Source organism: Homo sapiens, chromosome 19, assembly GCF_000001405.40.
Source record: "Homo sapiens chromosome 19, GRCh38.p14 Primary Assembly".
In the NCBI taxonomy this organism is placed as follows: Eukaryota; Metazoa; Chordata; class Mammalia; order Primates; family Hominidae; genus Homo; species Homo sapiens.
The window spans coordinates 41,829,188-41,856,055 of NC_000019.10; the positions used below are offsets into that span (position 1 = coordinate 41,829,188).

General features: G+C 47.7%; 2 protein-coding genes and 1 pseudogene across 23 annotated transcripts; 2 read left to right on the forward strand and 1 right to left on the reverse strand.

Moving 5' to 3' along the window:
• On the forward strand, window positions 422-1,947 carry HNRNPA1P52 (heterogeneous nuclear ribonucleoprotein A1 pseudogene 52; annotated as a pseudogene).
• A 3,940-nt stretch (window positions 1,948-5,887) lies between these two features.
• LYPD4 (LY6/PLAUR domain containing 4) lies at window positions 5,888-15,684 on the reverse strand. 14 transcript variants are annotated; one of them, XM_024451375.2, is made up of 6 exons: window positions 15,591-15,684; window positions 10,032-10,218; window positions 9,694-9,837; window positions 8,748-9,074; window positions 8,011-8,158; window positions 5,888-6,673 (listed from the first exon to the last, which is right to left on the reverse strand). In XM_024451375.2, the coding sequence occupies exons 2-6, from the start codon at window positions 10,096-10,098 to the stop codon at window positions 6,634-6,636; spliced, it is 726 nt and encodes a 241-aa protein (XP_024307143.1). In that variant the 5' UTR covers window positions 10,099-10,218; window positions 15,591-15,684; the 3' UTR covers window positions 5,888-6,633. The 14 variants fall into 14 exon arrangements, with proteins under 14 accessions (XP_024307143.1, XP_005278442.1, XP_024307146.1 ...); XM_005278385.6 differs by lacking the exon at window positions 15,591-15,684 and adding an exon at window positions 14,391-15,496 and having other exon boundaries at window positions 9,993-10,218; XM_024451378.2 differs by lacking the exon at window positions 5,888-6,673 and having other exon boundaries at window positions 7,887-8,158; window positions 8,752-9,074.
• A 44-nt stretch (window positions 15,685-15,728) lies between these two features.
• DMRTC2 (DMRT like family C2) lies at window positions 15,729-23,146 on the forward strand. Of its 9 annotated transcripts, none has more exons than XM_017027127.3 (9): window positions 15,855-15,914; window positions 16,159-16,214; window positions 18,238-18,465; window positions 18,549-18,694; window positions 19,265-19,341; window positions 19,608-19,788; window positions 19,943-20,069; window positions 21,125-21,513; window positions 22,397-23,146. In XM_017027127.3, exons 3-9 carry the CDS (start codon window positions 18,242-18,244, stop codon window positions 22,507-22,509), a joined length of 1,257 nt encoding a protein of 418 aa, XP_016882616.1. In that variant the 5' UTR covers window positions 15,855-15,914; window positions 16,159-16,214; window positions 18,238-18,241; the 3' UTR covers window positions 22,510-23,146. The 9 variants fall into 9 exon arrangements, with proteins under 9 accessions (XP_016882617.1, XP_016882616.1, NP_001035373.1 ...); NM_001040283.3 differs by lacking the exon at window positions 16,159-16,214 and having other exon boundaries at window positions 21,125-21,185; window positions 21,339-21,513; XM_017027129.2 differs by lacking the exons at window positions 15,855-15,914; window positions 16,159-16,214 and adding an exon at window positions 16,777-16,867 and having other exon boundaries at window positions 21,125-21,185; window positions 21,339-21,513.

Genomic DNA, 26,868 nt, shown 5'->3' on the forward strand with positions numbered 1-26,868 from the left:
GTTTTTGAGACAGGGTCTCACTCTGTTGTCCAGGCTGGAGTGCAGTGGTACGATCACGTCTCACTATAGCCTTGACTTCGTGCAGCCCAGAAGTTTTATCAGTGATTTCTACAGAATTTTCATGATGGATCATCTCAATCTTATACAAACTCTTCCATAGGGAAGAAAAGGAAGGAGTATTTCCCCAACTCATTCTATTAGGTTAGTATAAACTTGATATTGAAACCAGAACCAAAAAAAGAGTACAAAAGAGGAAATTATCAGGCCAATCACATTCATGAACAGAGATGCATAAAAACCTAAACAAGGCATTAGGAAATCAAATCAACAGCATATTTAAAAATGAAACACTATGACTAGGTTTTGTTTGTTCCAGGAAAAGCAAAAAGGTGATTTAACATTATAAATCTATAAGTGGGCTTTTCTGCCCATGGACGCCGCCAAAGAAGCATCGTTAGAGTCTCAGTTCTCCCTGCCGTCATGTCTAAGTCAGAGTGTCCCGAAGAGCCTGAACAGCTGAGGAAGCTCTTCATTGGAGGATTGAGCTTTGAAACAACTGATAAGAGCCTGAGAAGCCATTTTGAGCAATGGAGAATGCTCACGGACTGTGTGGTAATGAGAGATCCAAACACCAAGCGCTCCAGGAGCTTTGGGCTTGTCACATATGCCACTGTGAAGGAGGCAGATGCGCCATGAATGCTAGGCCGCACAAGGTGGATAGAAGAGTTGTGGAACCAAAGAGAGCTGTCTCAAGAGAAGATTCTCAAAGACCAGGTGCCCAGTTAACTGTGAAAAAGATATTTGTTGGTGGCATTAAAGAAGACACTGAAGGCCAGGTGTGGTGACTCATGCCTATAATCCCAGCACTTTGGGAGGCCGAGGAGGGCAGATCACCTGAGGTCGGGAGTTCAAGACCAGCCTGACCAACTTGAGAAACCCCGTCTCTACTAAAAATACAAAATTAGCTGGGCATGGTGGTGCATGCCTGTAATCCCAATTACTCGGGAGGCTGAGGCAGGAAAATCACTTGATCCCAGGAGCCGGAGGTTGTGGTGAGCCAAGGTTGCGCCATTGCACTCCAGCCTGGACGACAGACTGAGACTCTGTCTAAAAAAAAAAAAAAAAAAGAAGACACTGAAGAACATCACCTAAGAGATTATTTTGAACAGTATGGAAAAATTGAAGTGACTGAAATCATGACTGACCGAGGCAGTGGCAAGAAAAGGGGCTTTGCCTTTCTAACCTTTGATGACCGTGACTCCGTGGGTAAGATTATCATTCAGAAATACCATACTGTGAATGGCCACAACTGTGAAATTAGGGAAGCCCTATCAAAGCAAGAGATACCTAGTGCTTCATCCAGCCAAAGAGATCAAAGCAGTTCTGGAAATTTTGGTGGTGGTCATGGAGGTGGTTTTGGTGGGAATGACAACTTTGGTCATGGAGGAAACTTCAGTGGTCATGGTGGCTTTGGTGGCAGCCATGTTGTTGGTGGATATGGTGGCAGTGGGGATGGCTATAATGGATTTGGTAATGATGGAAGCAACTTTGGACGTAGTGGAAGCTACAATGATTTTGGCAATTACAACAATCAGTCTTCAAATTTTGGACCCATGAAGAGAGGAAACTTTGGAGGCAGAAGCTCTGGCCCCTATAGTGGTGGAGGCCAATATTTGCCAAACCACGAAACCAAGGTGGCTATGGCGGTTCCAGTAGCAGCAGTAGCTATGGCAGTGGCAGAAGATTTTAATTAGAAAACAAAGCTTAGCAGGAGAGGAGAGCCAGAGAAGTGACAGGGAAGCTACAGGTTACAACAGATTTGTGAACTCAGCCACGCACAGTGGTGGCAGGGCCTAGCTGCTAAAAAGAAGACATGTTTTAGACAAATACTCACGTGTATGGGCAAAAAACTCGAGGACTGTATTTGCAACTAATTGTATAACAGGTTATTTTAGTCTCTGTTCTGTGGAAAATGTAAAGCATTCCAACAAAGAGTTTTAATGTAGATTTTTTTTTGCATCGATGCTGTTGATCGCTAAATGTAATAGTCTGATCGTGATGCTGAATAAATGTCTTTTTTAAAAAAAAGAAATATATAAGTGGAAGGGGGCATGAGGGAGCTTCTAGGGTGCTAGGAAGGTTTTGTTTCCTTATCTAGCTACTATTTACATGGGTGTGTTCAATTTTTGAAAAGGCATCAAATAATACATTTATAATCTATGCACTTTTCTATATATAAGTAATGTATCAATTTTTTAAGTATTTTAAAGTATATATTACTTGCCATATTAAGAGAATAAAGGGAAAACTCATGACTATCTCAATAGATGCAGAAAAATCATGTAATAATATTTCCTGAGCTGGGTGTGGGGGCTAATGCCTGTAATTCCAGTATTTGGGGAGGCTGAGGCAGCAAGATTGCTTGAGGCCAAAAGTTTGAAACCAGCCTGGGCAACATAGCAAGACCCTGTCTCTATAAAAAAAAATCCAAAAAAAACTAATAACATTTGCCATCCATTTCTTAAAAATATTACACTAGGATAGAAGAGAACTTCCTTACTCTGCTAAAGCACATCTATCCCCCCAACCCCCAAAAAAGAAAGCAAAAAAAACAGCAACCAAAAAAAAATCATTGTTAATAGGAAAATAGGAGCATTCCACTGAAAATCAAGGATAATCCAAGAGGGCCAAGCACAATGGTTCATGCCTGTAATCCCAACACTTTGGGAGGCTGAGGTGAGCAGATCACTTAAGGTCAGAAGTTCAAGACATGCCTGGCCAACATGGCGAAACCTCATCTCTACTAAAAATACAAAAGTTAAGGCTGGGTGTGATGGCTCACGCCTGTAATCCCAGCACTTTGGGAGGCCAAGGTGGGCGGATCACTTGAGGTCAGGAGTTCAAGATCGGCCTGGCCAACATGGTGAAACCCCATCTCTACTAAAAACACAAAAATCAGCCAGGCATAGTGGCACACACCTGTAATCCCAGCTACTCGGGAGGCTGAGACACAAGAATTGCTAGAACCCAGAAGGCAGAGGCTGCAGTGAGCCAAGAATGTGCCACTGTGCTCCAGCCTGGGTGACTGAGTGAGACTCCATCTCAAATAAAAAAAAAAATAAACAAATAAACAGAAATTAGCCAGGTGTGGTGGCAGGTGCCTGTAGTCCCAGGTACTCAGGAGGCTGGGGCATGGGAATTGCTTGAACCCAGAAGGCAGAGGTTGCAGCGAGCTGAGATCACACCATTGCACTCCAGCCTGGGCAACAGAGAGATTGTCTCAAAAAAAAAAAAAAAAGAAGAATCCAAGGGGCAGGGCAGGCACCTGTAATCTCAGTACTTTGGGAGGCCAAGGCAGGAGAATCACTTGAGGACAAGAGTTCAAGACCAGCCTGGGCAACATAACAAGATACCAGCTGTACAAAATATATTTTTTAAAAAAGAATAATCCAAGGATGCCCAGCATTGTCAATATTGTACTGGGATGGCCTAGCCAACACAGATCAGCTGTCAGTATTTTTTTTTTTTTTTTTGAGATGGAGGCTCGCTCCGTTGCCCAGGCTAAAGTGCAGTGGCGCGATCTCTGCTCATTGTAAGCTCCACCTCCCGGGTTCACGCCATTCTCCTGCCTCAGGCTCTGGAGTAGCTGGGACTACAGGCGTCCGCCACCACGCCCAGCTAATTTTTTTGTATTTTTAGTAGAGATGGGGTTTCACCGTGTTAGCCAGGATGGTCTCAATCTCCTGACCTTGTGATCCACCCGCCTTGGCCTCCCAAAGTGCTGGGATTACAGGCGTGAGCCACCGCGCCTGGCCAGTATTTTTTTTATTATTATTTTTAGAAACAGGGCCTTGCTCTGTCACCCATGCTGGAATGCACTGGCATGATCATAGCTCACTGTAGCCTTGAACTCCTAGGCTCATGTGATTCTCTCACCTCAGCCTCCCAAATAGCTGGAAGTACAGGCACACGCCACCACACTGAGTTAATTTTTATTTTTTTACAGGTGTAAGCCACCACCCCGGGCCAGCTGTTGTTATTAACAGGTTATTATTATCTGCCCAGAAAACCCCAAAAAAAGCCTACAAACAAATTATTAGAAGTTATAAAAGAGTCTAGAAAGAAGCCTGGCTTTAAGATCAATATACTATACAAAAATCAATTGCGACCAGGCATGGTGGCTCACGCCTGTAATTCTAGCATTCTGGGAAGCCGAAGTGGGTGGATTACCTGAGCTCAGGAGTTTGAGACCAGCCTGGCCAACATGGTGAAACCCCATCTCTACTAAAATACAAAAAATTAGCCAGACATGGTGGCTCGTGCCTGTAGTCCCAGCTACTCGGAAGGCTGAGGCACAAGAATCGTTTGAACCCGGTAAGCAGAGGTTGCAGTAAGCCGAGATCACACCACTGCACTCCAGCCTAGGTGACAGAGTGAGACTCTGTCTAAAAAAAAAAAATCAATTTCGCGTCTATACGTTAGAAACAAACAGAAAATATAACTTTTAAGAGACACCATTTATAATAACAATAAATACTACAGATTATTTTAGACTAAATATAACAAAAGATGTACCAAATCCTAATACAGAAAACTTTTTAACTTTATTGAAAAATATTAACGACCTTAAAAAATTGAGAGGCCAGGCGCGGTGGCTCATGCCTGTAATCCCAGCACTTTGGGAGGCCGAGGTGGGCGGATCACCTGAGGTCGGGAGTTTGAGACCAGCCTGACCAACATGGAGAAACCCTGTGTCTACTAAAAATACAAAATTGCTGGGTGTGGTGGCGCATGCCTGTAATCCCAACTACTCGGGAGGCTGAGGTAGGAGAATCACATGAACCCGGGAGGCGCAGGTTGCAGTGAGCCGAGACCGCACCATTGCACTCCAGCCTGGGCAACAAGAGCGAAACTCTGTCTCAAAAAAAAAAAAAAAAAAAAACCATAAGGAATGAAGACAAATAATCTAACAAAGGGTTAGTATATAATATATAAAATATAAAAGAAAGCTTACATATCAAGAAGAAAAAGTTAACCCTATAGAACAATACAGCCCCCACCAAAATGGTCATTTTACAAAAGCAGCACAGTCAATGCACATATGAAAAGAAGCTCAACCTACTTAGTAACCAGGAAAATACAAATTCAGACCCTAATGAGATATCATTTCATACCCAACAGAGTGGCAAAAATTTTTAAGTGTGAACAGTTGAAGGGCATGTATTTCAACAAAAATTCTTTACCCTCTCACCAGTAATGTATAACTGCTACAACCATTTTGGAAAACAATTTAGCATTTACTCCCAAAGCTGAACAAACCCTACAGCCAGCAATTGTACTCCTGGGTGTATACCTATGAGAAACTCTTACACATATGTACAAGACATGTACAAGAGGACATGCATAAGAATATTCATAGCGGCAGTAGCCAGAGTATCCAAAAACTGGGGAAGAAATCCACACATAATTGACAGAGAATAGATCAATTGTACAGATCCTACTGTACAATAGCACAGTAGGATGTCATACAACAGTGAAAATGGAAGAACAAAGTCCCACACGGGAACGTGGGTGAATGTTAGAAACATAATGACGAGTTGTTTAAAAGCAAGTTCCAAGCCTGGGCAACATAGCAAGACCTTGTCTCTACTAAAAATTTAAAAAATTAGTGGAGTGTTGTGGCACATGCATGTAGTCCCAGCTACTCGGGAGGCTGAAACGAGAGGATCACTTGAGCCTGGGAGGTCAAGGCTGCAGTGAGCCATGATCCTGTCACTAAGTTCCAGCCTGGGTGATACAGCAAGACCCTGTCTCTAAAAATAACAATAATAATATAAAAAGCAAGTTCCAGAAAACTACATATGATACCATTTTTACAGAGCTCAAAACCAGGCAAATCTAAACAATATTTATTGTTTAAAGGTATAATACATACATGACAAAGTATATAAAAATCCAATCCAAGCCAAACTAAATAAAATATTGCTTCCTCATGGGAGGAGGCAAAGGAGTGGATGGGGAAAAGAACACAGGTAAAAAGCAAGTTACTCCTGATGCTCCATTTCTTGGGCTAAGTGATGAGTCCATGGGGTTTGTTAAATCACACTCCACATCCAATATTTTTGTTACATATAATCCTTTGTATGTAGCAAATATGTCCTGTCCCTGGTATCAGGATTAAGCCATCCATTTGTGACACCTAGGACACCATTTCCTTTGACTTGTTAATTCCCTTTGAAGGTCATTGATGTCCTCAACCACCTTGGCTAGTGGGATGAAGACAATCTGTGGAAGTATGTCTTGGCCCACCCAGGCCTCAGCTCAGCCTTCTAAAACTAATAGCCCAGCTGGTCAGATGTTAGGAAGAGGTGGGCGAAGCCCACTGATAAAACTCATCTACTAAAACCTCCCTCTATGACCTAAAGCCTCTTGTCGTAGGCTCGCTGGTCTCCACCTAGCCCTGTTCCACTTGCTGTGACTATTCTGGCTTCCCAACCACCCCTTCCAGAACCTAGATTGGTCATGGAGGTCACAGAGGTCCATGGTAACCGAAACCTCGTGTCAGTCCCACTTCTGAGGCCAGGTGCAGGCACGTGTGCTTCAGACCCCACTTGCTCAAGCTACTAACAAAGGTCAGCTCCGTGGCCTTGAGGAGTTAAGCCTGTGTCCTCGCCTGTAAAATGCAAATACAGAAGTGATGACATCTATTTAATAAGGTTGTAGTAAGGATGAACGAGGTAATGCACAGAAAATGCCTAACCCACAGTAAAGGTACCCTACGTCACTGCCTCTAAACCTCACAAGATAGTGGGAGAGAATTAAACTGAGCTCCCACACATAAATGGCCTGACACAGCGACTCTCCATTCCCTACTTCCCACCCCTAAACACACAAACTCTGTCTCACACACACACACACACACTCATTCACTCAACTTAAAAAGGCATGAAGTTGCAGGGTGAGTGTATCTGCTGCCCCCTTATGGCCAGAGAAAAGAATCACACTGTTCTCCTTTCCTAGGAACCCAGAACCAAAACTCCGGGTGAAAAACAACCACCCCAGCCCTGCTCTTTCCTCTCTCCCCTATTTGCCAACTTACCAAAAAAAAAAAAAAAAAAAAAAAAAAAAAAAAAAAAAAAACAACTACTGAGCAGATAAAATAATCTCAAGTCTCCAAATCTCTCAATGAAATTGCCTCAGCAGGGACAGAAATCTGCAGGGGAGGTAAGGGAGATGCTACTTTGAGCAGGTTTCACCTCCTAGAGCTAGTTTCTTCTTTGCAAAATAGAGACAAAAGCTGCCTCACTGAGGTCTTGTGAGGATTAAATGATATCCTGTATGTAAAACACTAGCACAGATACTAGCACAGTGTCTGGCACACATAGTAGATACTCAGTAAGTAATCCCAGATAATAATCACCCTGGTGGTCAAACACAGTCGCTCCCATGTAAAATCCCAGCTACTGGGGAAGCTGAGGCAGGAGGATCACTTGAGGCCAAAGATTCGAGACCAGACCGGGCAACATAGTGAGACAGACCCCCATGTCAAAAAAAGGAAAAAAAAAAAAAAGAATTGGCCTGAGGAGGCTCTTCTCTAACTCATAAGACCCTTCCTTTTAAAGAGGAGGAAACTGAGGCCCATAAAAAGGGAGAGATTTGGCCAGGGTCTCGGAAATCAGACCCTGATTAGTAGCTGAACCCAGGCTGGAGCTCAAGCCTCCAGAGGAAGGGGAAGGAGAAAAGGAATATTTCAGCTCCCCCAGTTGCTGGGCAGGACACTGTCACTTTGCCAGGCTCCTCTTCCTGGGTCCCCACCTCCCTGGACATGCTTGGCCTTCCTCACACCTTCCTCACCCCTGCTCTCTCATGGACCACAGGACAATGCAGAAAGGGAACTCTGCTATTTTATTTGTTATGTGAAAGAGTCTGGGTGCTTGTCGGGTGCAGCTAGATGGTCAGTCCCTGAAGGCAAACAGGAGGCCTAAGACGACACCCCAAGCAGGATCTTGCCTGGAGGATGCTGCACCAACAATCTGAGACTTCTCTAAGATGTTGAGGACCTCAGTCACTTTGATGCTCCCAATATGATGAAAATCTGCTAAAAGCTGGTTATGTTCACGAGCACACCCCATGAGGAGGAAGGTGGTATTGAGAAACCCTGTAAGGAAGAGAGGGAGAAGTCAGGAACACTTTCAAGACTCAAGAGCCCTGCCTTCAGCCAGGTGCAGTGGCTCACACCTGTAATCCCAGCACTTTGGGAGGCCGAGGCAGGTGGATCACTTGAGGACTTAAGGCCAGGAGTTTGAGACTAGCCTGGCCAACATGGCAAAAACCCATCTCCCTTAAAAATACAAAAATTAGCCAGGTATGGTGGCACATGCCTATAATCCCAGCTACTTAGGAGGCTAGGGTATGAGAATCACTTGAACCTGGGAGGCAGAGGTTGCAGTGAGCCGAGATCGGACCACTGCACTCCAGCCTGGGCAACAGAGCAAGACTCCCATTTCAAAAAAAAAAAAAAGGCCCCTGCCTTCTCCCCAGAGGCCCCTCACAAACCAGAACACCTGCTCTCCCATGAGAGACTTAGGCACCAGGCGCCTTCCCCTTCCTCCTTGGAATTCATGTGCCCTGTCCCTTGCAACCCCAATCCCATCTCTGGATCCCACCAGCCTCTCTGAGATGTGAAGGTGCTGGACAATGCCTGGCAGAGAGTAGGCATTTGATAAACAATATTCCTCTCCTCTCACCTGCCTGAAATTTTAAGGTGGAACTGTAACACGTAGAAGCAGCCAAGGGGCAAGAATTAGTGGTGACAAAATTTGGGAGGCAATCCTTCATGTGCTCGCCCACACAGGTCGGGCAGCTACAGGACGCAGATGTGATAGACTTAGGAGTGCTGGCCTTGAGTTTCACAAAAGGCTCCAAATTGGTGAGGTTGTTGCAGAGATAAGACCGGCAGACGCGACTGTAGGAGGCAATGGACACTCCGGGTGGGGAAACAAGGTAGGAGATTTGCGCAGGGTAAGACGAAGACGAGCTGCAGCCTTTAAAGCCCACGACTCCCCTTGCAGTCCCTGAGGAGCAGAGGATTGAGAGAGCTCAGATCAGTGTCACTGGCCTCACCCAGAGTCCTCCCTCCCCCCAGCTCTTTCTGCACCCACCCTGCCTGTCACAATCTGTGCCTCCCTCCCCAACCCCTGTGTCCACTCAGTGCAGCTGCACAGGGCTCAGATGCTGGGGTCTCCATCTGGATCTCCTCATTCTTCCACTGCAGGACCTCCCCCAGCCCCCACTCCTCTCTCCCTTGTGCCCTCCTCCAGGGATCTGTCCACCTCCATTCTACCCACTTACCCAGCCCACAACACAACCAGTGGGGCCCTGCCCCTCTCCTGCCAGTGTCCTGACATTATCCAGATATAAATGATGGCCAGGCACAGTGGCTTATGCCTGTAATCCGGACACTTTGGGAGGCCAAGGTGGGCAGATCGCTTGAGCTCAGGAGTTTGAGACCAGCCTGGGCAACATAGTAAGAACTCCCCATCTCAAAAAAAATTAAAAAAAATATATATACATATATATATATATGTATAGTAACTATGTGGAATTCTAATCTACAGTCCCTCGGTGCTGGGAGTGGAGCTGGGGGTCAGAAGAGCAAGCAAAACGAAATTGATCAAACTTAGACTGCTTCACCTGTCTCAATGAACACTAGCGTCTCCTCGCAGCCCTCTTGCAGCTTACACACCATGTTCCTCATCAGAAGCCACTTCCAGTTATGGAAAGCAACAGCTCTGAATCTTGAGGCTGTTGCTTCATAGCACAAAAGAGCTCCAGCCCCTAAAAAGAGAATGCTCTCCCAGTCATTGGCCCCTCATATCATCTTCTGAGCCCGTTAACTGCCAACCAAGAGTTCAGCCCCCACAGGTCCTGTCCCCAGCGAAACCTAGATACCCAGCCCTCGTTCCACCAGTGACATGAATCCAGCCTCCCACCTTTCTGGGTCTTATAGCATCCAGCCCCACAGGACATACGAGGCAGAGTGGAGATGGCCCCTAGAAGGCAGAACAGCTGCACAAGTCTCAAATGCTGGGGTCCCATGGCCCTGTGTCTGGGTCCTGGGTGCTAGAGGTCAGTCTGGAATCAGTTTCAGTCTGGATCCCAAGCTCAGTTCCCATCAGTCCCCGAATTCTTTGTCCACCTGTCTCTGGGTCACTGTTTCTGGAGCAGAAAGTTGATTGCATCAGCTTCTAGGACATAGGCTCCCTCAGACCTTCTGGGTCACAGGTCTTCCCATCTCCACTGTCTGCCCTCCAGTCTAACCTGCACCATCCACCATCTTAGCTTCTCAAAGCAGGACTCTCACTCTCCCACTTAGGTCCTCCCATTGGACAAGGTGCTGAGCAGAGAATCCTGGCTTACTGATATGCAGGCTGTTCTCCAGCCAGAGGCAATGAGATCAGAGAAACAAATAGATGTTTCAAACTCGTGTGTGTTGTGTGTGTGTGTGTGTGTGTGTGTAAGTTAACATATCACTAAATAACCCTTGGTTCAACATGGAAATTTAAAAGTATTTAGAACTGAGGTCAGGAGCAGTGGCTCACGCCTGTAATCCCATCACTTTGGGAGGCTAAGGCAGGTGGATCACCAGAGGTCAGGAGTCCAAGACCAGCCTGCCAAAATGGTAAAACCCCATCTCTACTAAAAAATATAAATTAGCCAGGGGTGGTGGCACGAGCCTATAGTCCCAGCTACTCAGGAGGCTGAAGCATGAGAATCGCTTGAACCCAGGAGGCGGAGGTTGCAGTGAACCGAGATCGCGCCACTGCACTCCAGGCTGGGCAACAGAGACAGAGACTCCATTTCAAAAAAAAAAAAAGTATTTAGAACTGAATAATAATAAACATATTACATAACACACACATTCACACACAGACATAGACACAGACAGACACACACATACACACACACACACACACATAAGTGCATGTAAAATCTGCTGTAAACTGAATAAGGTCTGAAGTCTAGGTAAGAGTACTGTACACCAGCCCAGGCATCACGACAAAATGCCATCTCTACAAAAAATACAAAAATTGGCCAGGCATGGTGGCATGCACCTGTGGTCCCAGCTACTTGGGAGGCTGAGGTGGGAGGACCACTTGAGCCCCGGGGATGGAGGTTGCAGTGAGCTATGACTGTACAAACAGTATTGTACAAATGTCAATTTCCTGCTCATATACTATGGTTATATAAGATGCCCCTACAGGGAAACTGGAGGAAGGATCCAAGGGACTCTATGTACCACTTTTGCAACTTCCTGTGAGCCAACAATCATTTCAAAATTAAAGGGTTTTTAAAATATATACAGCCGGGCACAGTATCTCCCGCCTGTAATCCCAGCACTTTGGGAGGCCGAGGCAGGCAGATCACGAGGTCAGGAGATCAAGACCATCCTGGCTAACACGGTGAAACCCCATCTCTAAAAACACAAAAAAATTAGCCAGGCATGGTCGTGGACGCCTGTAGTCCCAACTACTTGGGAGGCTGAGGCAGGAGAATGGTGTGAACCCGGGAGGCGGAGCTTGCAGTGAGCCAAGATTGCGACGCTGCACTCCAGCCTGGACGACAGAGCGAAACTCCGTCTCAAAAAAAAAAAAAATAAAATAAAATATATACATCAAAATTTGAGACACAGCTAAAGCAGTATTTAGAAGTAAATTTATACTTTTAAATACATGTATCAGGAAATGTGAAGCATTAAAAAATAAATATATTCATGAACTAGTTCAAGAAATTGTATAAGGAGCAACAAAGCAATTCTCTCCTACCCAAAAAAGAATGGAAATAAGGATGATAGCAGAAATCAATGAAATAGTAAACAACAACAAACATTATTACAAAAAAGATCCATTCTATGAAAAGATTTAGTTAGTTCGCTGGCAAATCTGATCAAGGGAGAAGATGCAGGCCGGCACAGTGGCTCATGCCTCTAATCCCAGTGCTTTGGGAGGCTGAGCCAGGAGGATCCCTTGAGGTCAGGAGTTCAAGACCAGCCTGGGCAACACAGTGGCTTATGCCGGTAATTCCAGTGCTTTGGGAGGCTGAGCCAGGACTGCTCGAGGTCAGCAATTTGAGACCAGCCTGGGCAACACCTTGTCTATACCAAAAAAAAAAAAAAGTTTAAAAATTAGCCAAGCATGGGAGTGCCTGTAGTCCCAGCTACTCAGGAGGCTAATGTTGAAGGATTGCTTTAGCCTCAAATCACAAGGTCAGGAGTTCGCGACCAGCCTGGCCAACAAGGTGAAACACTGTCTCTACTACAAATACAAAAATTAGCCCGGTGTGGTGGTACGTGCCTGCAGTCCCAGCTACTAGGGAGGCTGAGGAGGGAGGATCACTTGAACCCGGAAGCCAGAGGTTGCAGTGAGCCGAGATCATGCCACTGCACTCCAGCCTGGGCAATAGAACAAGACCCTGTCTCAAAAAAAAAAAAAAAAAAAAAGTGAAGAAATGCACAAACCCAGCAATAACCAAGGAAATGCAATCTGTCAAATTGTACATCTATCAGACTGGTAAGGATCAGAAAGCTGGGAAAAGACAAGTGTTGGCAGGTATGTGGGGATAAAGGAACCCTTGGCCCCTGATGCTCATGGCATTATTTGGAGGGCTGGGGAATAAAACACTATTTCTGGACTCTGAGAAACAAAGGAGTTGAGAGTTCTGACCAGGATCTCAGGCCCAAAGCAGCATTGCAGGGGTCTGACACTACATGGTCAAATTGGGTTTATAAATACCCATTTCCAGTATACCCTACATAGGTATTACAAAAATGTCCACCTTCATCTACAAAGGAACATGCACAATAATGCAGCATTTTTTTTTTCTGAGACTGGGTCTCGCTCTGTTGCCCAGGCTGGAGGACAGCTGTGCTCACTGCAGCCCCCACCTGCCAGGCTCATGCAATCCTCTCACCTCGGCCACCCAAATAGCTGGGACTACAGGTGTGCGCCAACACACCCAGCTTTGTAGAGATGGAGTTTTTCCATGTTGCCCCAGCTGTTATCAAACTCCTGGGCTCAAGCAATCCACCCACCTCGGCCTCCCAAAGTGCTGGGATTACAGGCATGAGCTCCCATGCCCAGAGAATGCAGCATTATTGTGGTGATGGTAGGTTGAGACAATGGGAGCTTCCCTCTCTGAGACCAAGTGAATGCAAAACATGCTGGGGATGTACGCTATGGAATATCACGCAGGAGTTGGAAGAAGTTGATTAGATGTACACAGGATGTGAGGCAGGGTACAGTGGCTCACGCCTGTAATCCCAGCACTTCGGGAGGCTGAGGTGGGCGGATCACCTGAGGTCAGGAGTTCAAGACCAAGCTGGTCAACATGGCAAAATCCTGACTCTACTAAAAATACAAAAATTAGTCGAGTGTGGTGGTGGGAGCCTGTAATCCCAGCTACTCAAGAGGCTGTGGCAGCAGAAGAATTGCTTGAACCCAGGAGGTGGAGGGTGCAGTAAGCCAAGATCACACCATTGCACTCCAGCCTGGGCAATAAGAGTGAAACTCCGTCTAAACAAAAAAAAAAAAAAAAAAAAAAAAAAAAAAAAGTACACATCATGACAGAATGACAGAATGTGTACATGGATAGATTGTAAAATCACAGTGCTGATTATTACAAATAGTATATAACATAATATCACTTGCATAAATTAAAAACTCAAACAGAGGTCGGGTGTGGTCGTTCATGCCTGTGATCCCAGCACTTTGGGAGGCCAAGGCAGACAGATCACTTCAGGCCAGGAGTTCTGGACCAGCCTGGTTAATATGGCAAAACCCCATCGCTAAAAAAAAAAAAAAAAAAAAAAAAAAAAAAAAAAAAAAAAAAAAACCCCAACAACAACACTACACACATCCTGGGAGAACACACACACAAACCAAAAGATACATATTAACCACCTTAGAATGAGAATTGCCTATAAGAAGGTTAGGGAATGAAAGTGGGGAATTGGTGGAAAATAACAGTGTAGGAGGGGGTACAAAGATCACTGACCTTGGCCTCAGAGACCCAGGTTGGAATCTTTACCCCTTCATTTACTAGCTGTCCAATTTGTTGAACTCAGAGCCTACTACCTTCTTTATAAAATGAAGTATAATACATCTCATAGGGTCATTGTGAAGATCAATAAAATTATTACCATAAGTATTAGGCAAATGCTAAGCTCTTTATAATCGTTGGTTACCCTGTTCCTCTACCACTATCCCTCCCTCCCACACACACTTCCTCTCACTCTCTCTCCACTACCTAAAGGATCAAGTTCAACCTCTTTAGCTGGCCTTTAAGCCTCCCCCGACCACACCCCACCCCACCCCAGATAAGCGCCACCCAACCTTTCCAATTTTATCTAGGACAGCTCCCCTGCCCAGCAGTCCAGCTAGAGGTCACGTCGGCCACCCTTTTCTGCCTGCAATGCCTCAGACACACATGCTCTGTAACCCAGAAATCTGTGGCCAAGAAAGGTGCCAAGACCCGCAGAAAAGCTGGGACACAGGAAAGAGAAACGAAGGCTGACAACAGATCTCACGGGGGTGAGGGAGATTAGGCCAATCAGAGAAGACAGCACACGCCAGCCTCAGATGCAGAACAACTGGACCTGGACCTAACAAGCTGAGTACAAGTGGAGACGCAACCAGAAAAGATTGAAGTGAAATCCTCAAGCAAAAAAAAAAAAAAAAAAAAAAAAAAAAAGGATGGAGCAGTAGTCAGAGGGGATGCCACCCCTACAAAAGACAAACAAATTGATGGAATGGAACCTTGCAGGGAGAGAGAGGACCAGCAGAGAGAGGGAGGCGTAGGAAAATGAGGAGTGGGGCACAAAGGTGGGGCTCTCAGGGAGAAGAGGAGTCGATTTTAGAGGGGGAGAAGAAAAGGACACAGAGCTGGCTGTACAGAGAAAAGGGGCCAAGGCAGAGAAGATGGCGGGATGGTGTGAGACGGAGTTCACAGAAATACCCAGAGAAGGCGACGATTACACAGAGGAGCCCCCAGAGGGGCGAACTCTTGAGGAAGATGAACGCGGAGGGTGGAGCCAGCCAGAAATTCAGAAAAACTAGAGGCGTCCCCGGTAGCGAAGGAAGCCGGGAAGGGGCCAGGCTATCAGGGCATGAAGCACGGGAGAAAATGGGTCCGAAGAGGGAGAGCGTCCGAGAGAAAAGGAAAATCAGAGATTAGGAAAATCACAACCGACACAAAGACAAGAAGAGACACAAGGAAAGGGGTGCAATCTGAGGAAGGAGGGCCCGGTAAGCAACCCGGTAATCACAGCGCTGGGAGAGAACGCATAAAAGAAGGGTAGCTCAGGAGTTGTGGGGCACCGGAAGAGACATAACAGAAAACGCAGGCCTCCACTCAGCAAAAACAAGCCACGCGCGAAGTCGAGGTACAAGGCAAGGGAAGGCCAGAAACGAGGCAACCCGTGCACAGACCGGGCTTGGTCAACGCCCCAGGGGCGGGGCCAGGCGGGCCGTTCCTGGGGGGCGGGGCCAGCCTCGGTCCAATAAGGGGTACTCGACGCCCCATTGGCCACCTGCCTCGAAAGGGGGAAGACAGTCTGGGCGGGCAGGACGTGCGGAGGGAGAGGCAGCGGTGGCGCGAGGCTCAACTCGAAGCGCTATTGGTGGGACTGATAGTCTTGTGCGCCAAGAAGCTGGCAGAAGGGAAGGGGCGGGACATCAGTTCAGGATCTCAAACCGCATTGGTCGTCTGCCTCGGCTGAGAGAGGCGATGCTTGAAGTTCATTGGTCTTTGTGAGACAGGGTAAGAAAAGCAGCGCGAGCTTGGCGGTTCCTCTGGCCACTTTCTCACAGTGTCTTTGGGCGTCTTCTTGACTGAATCTGACTCCATTGGAGGCTGTGGTAACCGTGAACTAGCTGCACGAACACGGTCCCTCCTGCCTTTCCGTCCTCCTCCCTCTTAGCCGGACTCCCTAACCCAGGCATCCCCTCTCCTCCCCCTCGCGCCCCTCCCGCCCTCGCGCCCCCTCTCCCCTTCCCTGCCTCGCGGGCCCCTTGGCGCGTTCCCGGTTCCCCACTCGCTCCCTGGGGCACGGGAAGGGGGGAGGGGGACATGCATGAAATTAATTGTTGGTAGTGGCCACAGGAGCAGGAAGCGCTGGACACAGTGACTTCACATGTTTACACAAAAACCTGAATAAGGTGTGAGCGCAAGAGAGACATTAGTGCCCCAAGGAGAAGGTTTTTGGCCCAGATCAGGGCCTAGCACATGACAGGGGCTCAGTAACCATTTGTGGAATGAATGAAGGAGTGAAGGAAAATAACTTGAAAGTGGGGCAGGTGGCGGGTGCGGTGGCTCATGCCTGTAATCCCAACACTTTGGGAGGCCGAAGCAGGCAGGTCGCTTGAGGCAGGTCAGGAGTTCAAGACCAGCCTGGCCAACATGGTGAAACCCCATCTCTACTAAAAATACAAAAATTAGACGGGCGTGGTGGCACAGGCCTGTAATCCCAGGTACTCGGGAGGCTGAGGCAGGAGAATTGCTTGAACCCAGGAGGCGGAGGTTGCAGTGAGCCGGGATTGCACTACTGCACTACAGCCTGGGCTACAGAGTGAGACTCCATCTCAAAACAAAAAAAAAGAAAGAAAGAAAGTGGGACAGGGGAGCCAAGCATAGTGGCTCCAGCCTGTAGTCCCAGCTACTGGGGAGGCTGCGGCAGGAGGATTGCTTGAGCTCAGGAGGTGGAGGCTGCAGTGAGCCATGATCACGCCACTGCGCTCCAGCCTGGGCAACAGAGCGAGACCCTGTCAATAAAAAAAAAAAGAAAGTGGAGCAGGGAATCCATGAGAATAAGGTAATTATTGGGGGTGCAAGAGAGGGTTCTGATTTAAAGGGGTACAAGAACAAAATAAGACTAAAGGAATGCAAGGAGGCAGTTGCTTTGCAGGGCATAGATGAGACTAAGAATTGAAATTGAACTAAGAATTGAAAGGGGCATAAAACTACTGGTAGGCATTGGATGAATGCATGAGAGTGGGGTGAGCATTGTTGAAGAGGATGCCAGGAAACACTGTTGGGACGGAACAGGGTGCTTGTGAAAAGGGGATGTAGGACTCGCTGAAGGGGTATGTGAGGACATGAGTAGGTTGGAACCTAGGATGTGTGTGTGGGTGGGAAAGTGTTTGGATTGAAAGAAAAGAATGTTTGAATTGAAAGAATACAGAATGTCGGGCGCAGCAGCTCATGCCTCTGATCCTAGCACTGTGGGAGGCCAAGGCAGGAGGATCGCTTGAGCCCAGGAGTTCGAGACCAGACCAGCCTGGGAAACATAATGAGACCTTGTCTCTATAAAAATAAAAAACAATTAAAAAAAAATTTTTTTTTTGAGACAGAGTCTTGCTCCGTCACCCAGGCTAAAGTGCAGTGGCGCGATCATGGCTCACTGCCAGCTCTGCCTCCCGGGTTCACGCCATTCTCCTGCCTCAGCCTCTGGAGTAGCTGGGACTACAGGCACCCGCCACCACGCCCAGCTAATTTTTTGTATTTTTAGTAGAGACAGGGTTTCACTGTGTTAGCCAGGATGGTCTCGATCTCCTGACCTTGTGATCCACCCGCCTTGGCCTCCCAAAGTGCTGGGATTATAGGCTTGAGCCACCGCACCCGGCCTAAAAATTTTTAAATTAAAAAAAGGGGGGACGGGTGCAGTGGCTCATGGCTGTAATTCCAGCACTTTGGGAGGCCGAGACAGGCAGATCACTTGAGGCCAGGAGTTCGAGACCAGCCTGGCCAACATGGTGAAACACCATCTCTACTAAACATACAAAAATAAAAAAAAATAGCCGGGCATGGTGGCTCTTGCCTGTAATCCCAGCTACTCAGGAGGCTGAGGCAGGAGAATCGCTTGAACCCGGGAGGTGGAGGTTGCAGCAAGCCAAGATCGTGCCACTGCACTCCAGCCTGGGAGACAGAGTGAGACTCCATCTCAAAAAAAAAAAAAAAAAAAAAGAAAGAACACAGAAGAGGAAGAGGAGAGGGGTTTCTGAAGAAGGAAGATACCTGAGAAATGTCATGGGGTAAAGAGGGGAGAAAGCTGGGAAAGAAGCCAGAATCAGGGCGGGGTCTAAAGAGGGGCAGGATGGAGACCTGCAGGTGTGGTCTCCAGGGCAGGAGGGTTGTTAGGGGCAGGCCCACCTGGCTATGCTTACCTTCCACTCCTGCCCCTAGATCCATGGAACCCAGTGACATGCCTGCTGGCTACCACTGCCCCTTAGACTCTGCCCCCTGGGATGAGACCAGAGACCCCCAGAGCACAGAGCTGATCCCCAGGAGAGCCATCAGCCGCTCTCCAACCTGCGCCCGCTGCCGCAACCATGGTGTCACCGCCCATCTCAAGGGCCACAAGCGCCTCTGCCTCTTCCAGGCTTGCGAGTGTCACAAATGTGTCCTCATCCTGTGAGTATGAGGTCTGGGAGGGGAGGAGGATGAGCCTCCTCCAAAGGGTGGCTGACCTTTGACTTGCAACTCCCCACTTTTAGGGAGCGCCGCAGGGTCATGGCTGCCCAGGTGGCCTTGCGTAGGCAGCAGGAGGCGCAGCTAAAGAAGCACCTGATGAGGAGAGGGGAAGCCTCTCCCAAAGCTCCCAACCACTTCAGAAAGGGAACCACTCAGCCACAGGTCCCCTGTGAGTGTCTCTGACCAGCGATGGGGCAGGAGTTTGGGTACAGGAGGCAGGTATGGGAAAAAGAGGCCCAGTCCTGCTGCTGAATTGGTGTACGACCTTGAACTAAGGGTTTCTACTCCCTCGGCCTCAGCTGTCCCAGCGTTGAGAGAATGCAGCGAGTTCTGTGGGTCAAAAATGGGCTAGAGGCCGGGCACAGTGGCTCACGCCTGTAATCCGAGCACTTTGGGAGGCTGAGGCAGGCAGACCACGAGGTCAAGAGATCGAGACCATCCTGGCCAACATGGTGAAACCCCGTCTCTACTAAAAATACAAAAATTAGCTGGGCTTGGTGGCGCATGCCTGTAGTCCCAGCTACTCGGGAAGCTGAGGCAGGAGAATCACTTGAACCCAGGAGGCGGAGGTTGTAGTGAGCCAAGATCACGCCACTGCACTCCAGCCTGGGCGACACAGCAAGACTCCATCTCAAAAAAAAAAAATGAGCTAGATGGGGGAGATGAGAACTGTCTGGGGTTGGGGTAGGATAGGGGTCAGGAGAAAGGGCTCATTAGAGCTCTCCCTGGTCCTTCACAGCTGGAAAGGAGAACATAGCACCCCAGCCTCAGACCCCCCATGGGGCAGTCCTGCTGGCACCGACACCCCCCGGGAAGGTAAGGAGAGGCTGGGGCCTGAGAAAGTGTCCCCCACCCTAGTTCCTACCCAGACCCTTTCTTCTGTGCCCTCAACACCTGGGTTCTAGCCCCAGCCCTGGTTTGCTATGTAATCTAGTCAAATCACTGCTCTTCTCTAGGCAAAATGAGGGGAAAACGAGGGCCTCCCAGCCCCAAAGTTTTGGGGTTCTGCCCGTATCCCAGAATACACTCAATCCTTTTCCAGCCTTGTACCCAACTCCAGCCTGTGCCCTCTGCCCCTGCAGAACTCCTGTGGGCCTCTGCTGCTCAGCCATCCCCCGGAAGCCTCGCCCTTGTCCTGGACTCCGGTGCCTCCTGGCCCTTGGGTCCCTGGACACTGGCTGCCTCCAGGCTTCTCCATGCCACCACCAGTGGTGTGCCGCCTGCTGTACCAAGAACCTGCTGTCTCTCTGCCTCCCTTCCCTGGTAAGATGATAATTCAACATTCATTCAACATATATTTGAGTGCCAATCTGCCACATATTGGAGAGGGAAGAGGAAGAAAGCATAGGTGGGGAGAGGGAGGAAAGAAACTATGACCTTGGCCCCTATACACTCTGCATTCTTTTATTCTTATTAGGCTTTGACCCTGGCACCTCCCTCCAGCTGCCCACTCATGGGCCCTTCACCACCTGCCCAGGATCTCACCCAGTACTGACAGCTCCTCTTTCTGGAGAGCCCCAAGGGCCCCCTAGCCAGCCCCGCACGTGAGTAGGGAGAGAAGGATGTGTATCATAAGCCTAAGCCTGTGCTGTGTCCAACCACAGTGCTGGTGTCCAACCACAGTGGATAATGAAGATGAAAAGGTCTCTGACTAATAGGCAAGGCAGAGCTCTCCTAGTACTGCCATTTCCTAGCTGTGATGCTTTGGACAATTATCTTTACCTCTCTGAGCCTGTTTTTCTATCAGTAAATTGGAGACACTATTACTTACCTCTCTGATTGTTGTAAGAATTAGCAATAATGTATGGAATAGACCTAGCACAGACTCTTTAATGGTAGCTGTTATATCTGCTTAGACAGATTTGATGGGGTAAGATTGCCTGCTGATATGGGGGGCAGAGATGATGAGAGCCTCAGAGACCCAGGAGAGGGGCCAGAGGCCATTAGGAAAAGCTTCCCAAAGGTGAGCCAAGCTCTCCTTCAAGTTCTATGGTGACTGGGGAACTGGGGGAATGGGACCCAGACTCTGATAGGTCAGGGACAGTAATCTCAGTCTTCTAGGTGTTTTTTTAAAAACCGGCATCAGGTGGGGCCTGGTGGCTCACACCTGTAATCCCAACACTTTGGGAGGCTGAGGTGGGAGGATTACTTGAGGCCAAGAGTTTGAGACCACCTGAGTAACTGAGCGAGACTTCGTCTCTACAAAAAAATTAAAACAGCCAGGAATGGTGGTGCACACCTGTTTTCCTGGCTACTTAGGAGGCTGAGGTGGGAAGATGGTGTAGGCCCAGGAGTTCAAGCTTATGGTGAGCCATGATCACACCGCCACTGCACTCCAGCCTAGGTGACAGAGCAAGAGCCTGTCTCAAAAAAAAAAAAGACACTAGTGATTTCCCATAATCCTCACAGTAGCCCTGGGAGGAAAAACTGGCAAGGATTTTTACTTTACTGAAAACAAAATAAGTCAAGACACAGCTTAATGGCCCAGCAGGCTCTCAGATTCCCAGATCAAAACATGGCAAAATCCTGCCCCTCTTTCAATGTGTGCATGTCTGTTCATCTGTTTAACCACCCTGGCATCTTCTCTCCTTGTTTCTAGACACTCAACTCTGATACTCCAGCCCTGTGGCACCCCAGACCCTCTTCAGCTACAGCCACAGGTCCTGGGAAAGAAGTGGGATCTAGGGCCCTGGGAGGAGGTTGAGCCTGGGGAAGGAAAAAGCAGGAAACTGAAGGAAGCAGGGGCTGAGGAACACTTAGAGGGTGGGCAGAAGCGGGGGTTCCCAGTCTGCTTGTCTCCCTTTCCCTTGCAGGCCTCTGGAGCCTCGTGCCTGGCCCGGACATCTGGCCCCTCAGAGTGGCAGCTGCAGCAAGAGGCAGCTGAAGCCCTCGTGGGGCTGAAAGATTCATCCCAGGCTCCTCGTGTGACCCCTTCTGTGCCCCCCAACCCTGCCTGGATCTCCCTGCTTCACCCCTGTGGCCCACCAGGTGGGCCATGAAAGGAGAGGATGGATAGGGATGGCTGGGAAATGGAGATCACTGAAGTACACAGGGACTAACCAAGGAGATGAGGGGGTCGACAGGTTGAACGTCTTCAGGCCCAGGACCCCAAGCTCCTCAGCCTGGCCCCTGGGATTGCAGTTGAGAGTTATTCAGTGAATCCTTTTTATCAGTTTGGCACTCGACAGCAAATTTCTTGATATCAAGGAAAGTGGGGCACTGAGAAAGGCAGGGACTTGCCCAAGGGCATATAGTGAGACAGTGGCAGGGAACCCAATGCTCTGTCTCTGGACCCAGGCTGCCTGCTGAAGTCTGAAGTGGGGTCTGGCCTGGGAGGAGGTCTGATAAGTGCCTTCAAGGAGCTTACGTTCTAGTTAGGGAAATTGGATGCCTTCACAAGGCTCAGTGACAAACCTGAAGAAGATTGGAGGAACCTTGAAGAGTGAGAAACACCTAGGGGGACAGACAGGGAAAGCTGCGAATTCTCTTGTCCAAATAGTGGATTGGGCAGACTGGCCTGGAGGAAATGCTAGAACAGAGGGAAAGGAGGCTGGAGAGGCTTCTGATGGTGGAGATCTGGCATGCCAGGCTTAGGTGTCTAGAACAGCAACTGTATGTGAAGGGGAGCCAGGGAACGTTTCTGAACTAAGCAAGGACAAATTCAGAGACCCTGAGCTTTAGAAAGACAAGTGGGTGGCTTTGATGGACGGTTTGGAGGAGGCAAGACTGGAGGTGGGAAAATTAGCAAGGAGGTCTGTGAAATAATCCAGGAGAACAATGATGAGGCCTGGATTGGATTCGGTAAAAAGAGGGGGTTGCTAGAAGGAAAAACAGGTGTGACCTGATCCTGCCCCTTCCTTCTTGCCTGTAGCTCCTGCTGGAGGAAGAGGATTCCAGCCTGTTGGCCCCTGTCTTCGACCCAGCCCAGCCCCCTCTGTTGCTCTGCATATTGGCCGTCTGGGGTCCATCTCCCTCCTGAGCTAGAAACCCAGAGATGGAGGCTGTCTTGCTATGGCAGGGAGGTGACAGCCTGCTGGCACTGTATATTTAGTGTCTTACTTAAGGATTTATGCATGGAATTTAATGTAGTACAAGCTTCGGGCTTTTTTGTTTGTTTGTTTGTTTGTTTGTTTAAGCTTTCAGGTGCTTCATTAGCTTTCAGTTCCTTTGGTAGTGTGGGCATTTCCTTGGCTGACAGTGGATATTCTTGTACCCTTCTTGGGTCCTGGGATCTCTTGAAATCCCCAATAAAGAGAGAGTTGTGCTATTTAAGCTGACCAGTATCTATAAACGTGTTTGCATGAGTTTACATCCCAGGATTCCATGATTCTGTAAATGCCTATGCATTCATGTCTGTCTCCATGCATGTGAAAACAGGAGAGTGTTTTCATTTTGTGTCTAGGTTTGTGTGAGTAAGCAAGAAATAAACCTTTGTTGTTGTAAGCCACTGAGATTTGGAGAGTGTTACCACAGCCTAACCTAGTCTATCCTGACTGACAGAAAGGACTTGTTCATTTCGCTTCTCAAAGTGAAAAATCTGTTATCCAATAGCTACCATAGATGAAAACAAACTTGGATTTTTTTCTTTGTCCAAATAAAAAAAAATGATGTAAAGAAATAATGGGGGATTCACTGATTAATTGCCCGCTCTGTGCCAGGCATAGACAGTTTCCAGCTGTCTAGAGGGGCTACAAATCGAAATGCCTACAGGGCTGAGCAGATCAAATAAATGAGTAAAGAAGGCCAGATGGACCCTGGCAAACTGAGAATGGATGCCTTGCCTAAGGAGCAGCCTCCTTTTGGCCCTAGCAGATTACTGCCAGGCGGGAATGTGGACTCAGTGTTGCTCCATCTTCTGATTTTTTAAGAGAAACTGGAAAACTAGATTTCCATGTAAAACATCTTAATTTTCAAATGTTGGCTCAGTTTTCTTCTTTAAATTCTATACGTGCCAAATAAAACATATTTTCAGGCTAGCTTTGGCCAGTGGAATACCAATTTGATACATTTTCCAGATGGGGAAATTGAGGCTAACCAGAATAGAAAGAATCGAGTTAGTCTTTATCACAAGTTTTTCCTCAACTAGGGAGGTTCACGTGTCTGAGTTTCGAAGGATCCATAAAAGGTTAAGAAACATTTATTACCATTTATTGAGTGCCCACTCCATTTGATTCACATATCTTCACAGCAACCCTGGAAGTTATGCAGGATGGTTCCCATTTTACAAGTGAAGAAACAAGCTTAAAGAGGTAAAGTAACTTGCCCAAGTGTTTTAGGGGAAATTTCTAGGCAGAGATCAGAGGAGGGTTCCTTCTCTTTGCCAGGCTCCAAATTAGTTAATAATGTTTATAAAGCATTGGGCCGGGTGTGATAGCTCACACCTGTAATCCCAGCACTTTGGGAGGCCAAGGCAGGAGGATCGCTTGAGCCCAGGAGTTTGAGACCAGCCTGAGTAACACGGGGAGACCCTGTCTCTATAAAAACAAATAAATAAAAGCATAGAATGAAAGATGCACCACTCCTTTCCCCAATCAGGACTCCAGAAGATACATACAAGTCAAGAGTTTTTCAAAAAAGTCTTTTATTTTTCTCCTCAAGATATCATTAAGAATAAGATCTTACCTGCATTTGTTTCTCAGTCCTCTGGTGTCAAGTCCTTCTCCTTGAACCATTCCGTACATAGGAAAACCTGTTGAGCTATTCCAAAGACATGAAGCCTGGAGACCCCCTTCCCATTCCCACCCTTAGAAGGGGCTCAAGGGATGTGCTTGATCACTGATTCTTTTTCCTGATGTTACCTACACCCCTTGTTTTACTCAAGATGATTGATGGTGATGACATCCAATTACAACTTGTTATTTCTTATTTGGGATTTTGAGAGGGTGGGTTTCTTCTCCTCCCTAGCAGAGTACAGAGTAACAAACCTGCAGCACTTCTCAGGAGATACTGAGATATCAGGAGACCAAAGTCGGCTTCACACCCTTCTTCCCTCCCCTTAGCTATAACTTAGATATATGATTGCTCCTTAATAGACCTGCCTAAGACTTGGTGTGCCATGCTTTCCTAGTGACAGATGACCAGGGCCACAAAGTCACAGAGAAAGGAAGCACTGCAACATGCAACATGGCTGAGATTCTGCTACTCAGCACTGACCAAGGGTCCTCTGTACACCAAGGTCACAGAGCTGAGAAGGGTAAAAGAGAAAGTATAATTTGGGGTTAAAGGATGGCATGAAAAGGGGAGGAAAAGAGGAAGTGATGGAGATTGGGGGAAGGAGTAGACTAGAGGCCACCTCTCCTTCACCTCTCCTCCAGTACCCGGCCTTCAGTACCCAGCCTGGGCAAGGCTTTTCACACCAGTTGGCCAGGCCAACTTTGTCTTTCAAATCGTTAGGGCCCCCCATTAGTGCCTGAGGGAAAGGGCCAGAGCTTCTGCAGATGTCAGTCTTAGGGAAAAGAGCAGATTTAAGAGTTGCTCATGCTCCTAAGTTGTTGCCTGTTCAGGTGCAGCACTCTTCACCTGTGGTTGTAGGGAGCCAGTAGGCTCCTGGCCTCTTCTTGGCTCTGAGAGATTACAGATAATAGACTGTGAGCACTGTTTCCTATACTGCCCCCTTTCCCACTTCCCAGTGCCAGGTAGGGAAAGGTATTGCCATGGTCCAATAAAGTACTGAGTAAATCATCTCCCTTCTAAACCTTCTTTGTGTACCCTCTTGGCACTCTGCAGACTTAACCAATGAGGTCCCAACTATGAAGCACCGTCCCTGTTCCTCTCTCTCCTCACAAGACTCCTCCCCACAGTCACCCAGGTTTTATTTCAGGAGCTTATTTCACATTCTGCCCTTTGGGAATCCATGCTCCTTTCGCTTCAGCCCTACATTAACTTGCTCCACTCCTGACCTCAATTCTCGTCCAACGTAGAACTGACATCATACACTTATCCCATCCAGCCTATACGCAGACCCTCATTGCTTCGTCCACATAGGCCTCATTCTGCACCCCTGTTCCATTGTGTAGCTGGCTTTGCAGCCCTGACACGTTTGCATAAATACAGTCCTATAACCCCTACCCTGCATGGGCCTTCACAAGATCCTGAACTCTTCACAAAACCAAAGTTCATCCTTTTCATCCAACTCAAAATAATATGTTAAGCCTCTCAGGCAGAGTTCCCTATGTTCCCAAGGGGCCACTGGTCTCTACTTCATAGTCCTGATCACCCTGAGCTGTGCCTATCTATGTCCATCTATGTCTCCCCCTCAGAGAATAAGCACTCTCAGAGCACAGGACTTGCCTGCAGCTCCTCCTTGGGAGCTCAGAATAAATGACTGAGTAAAATACGTTCTGTCTGATTCCTTAGGAATTGTTTTTTCCTACTGAGTTAACACACTCCAATGCTGCCCCTCTCCTCATCAAAATGTGAACTTTCTGACCTCAAACCATTTTTTCTAAGACAGCCTCTGTCACCCAAGCTGGAGTACAGTGGCACAGTCATGGCTCACGGCAGCCTCAACCTCCCAGGCTCAAGTGACCCTCCAGCCTCAGCCTCCTGAGTAGCTGGGACTACAGGCATACACCTCCATGTGAGACTAATTTTTATTTTTTGTAGAGACAGTGTCTCACTATGTTGCCCAGGCTGGTCTTGAATGTCTGAGCTCAACCGATCCTCCTGTCTCAGCCTCCCAAAGTGCTGGGATTAGAGTTGTTTTGTTTGTATGTGTGTATTTTTGTTTCTTATTATTTTGGGATTAGAGTTGTGAGCCACCGTACCCAGCAAAAAAACCTTCAGGGGCCAGATACAGTGGCTCACACCTCTGATCTCGGAACTTTGGGAGGCCAAGGTGGGAGGATTGCTTGAGCTCAGGAGTTCGGGACCAGCCTGGGCAACATGGCAAAACCCCCTTTCTGCAAAAAATACAAAATTTAGCCAGGCATGGTGGCGTGCACCTGTAGTCCCAGCTACTCAGGAGGCTGAGGTGGGAGAATAGCTTGAGCCCAGGAGGTCAAGGCTGCAGTGAGCCATGATTACACCACTGCACTCCAGCCTGGGTGACAGAGCAAGACTGTCTCATATATATGTGTGTGTGTATATACATGCAACACACATATATACACACATATACATATACATATGTATGTATATATATATATATTATATATGTTCATAGCAAAATTTAGTGGAAAGTACAGAATTCCCATAGTCCCCTTGCCAACACACAGGGATGGCCTCCCTTTTGTATCAACATTCCACACCAGAGTGGTACCTTTGCTACAATCAAGGAACACCGTATTATCACCCAAAGTCTGCAGTTTACATCAGTGTTCACTCTTGTTGTATGTTCTGCAA

What these genes read in the sequence shown, in the direction of transcription:
- LYPD4 (XM_005258543.3), bottom strand. Translation starts at nt 10,098, where the DNA reads ATGGGACCCCAGCATTTGAGACTTGTGCAGCTGTTCTGCCTTCTAGGG. An exon ending in GCTAGTGTTCATTGAGACAG is followed by an intron (nt 9,075 to 9,693) that starts GTGAAGCAGTCT and finishes TCTGCTCCTCAG; the next exon opens with GGACTGCAAGGGGAGTCGTG. An exon ending in CACCTTAAAATTTCAGGCAG is followed by an intron (nt 8,159 to 8,747) that starts GTGAGAGGAGAG and finishes TCTTCCTTACAG; the next exon opens with GGTTTCTCAATACCACCTTC.
- DMRTC2 (XM_017027123.2), top strand. An exon ending in CACTCAGCCACAGGTCCCCT is followed by an intron (nt 18,695 to 19,264) that starts GTGAGTGTCTCT and finishes GGTCCTTCACAG; the next exon opens with CTGGAAAGGAGAACATAGCA. An exon ending in TCACCCCTGTGGCCCACCAG is followed by an intron (nt 21,514 to 22,396) that starts GTGGGCCATGAA and finishes TCTTGCCTGTAG; the next exon opens with CTCCTGCTGGAGGAAGAGGA.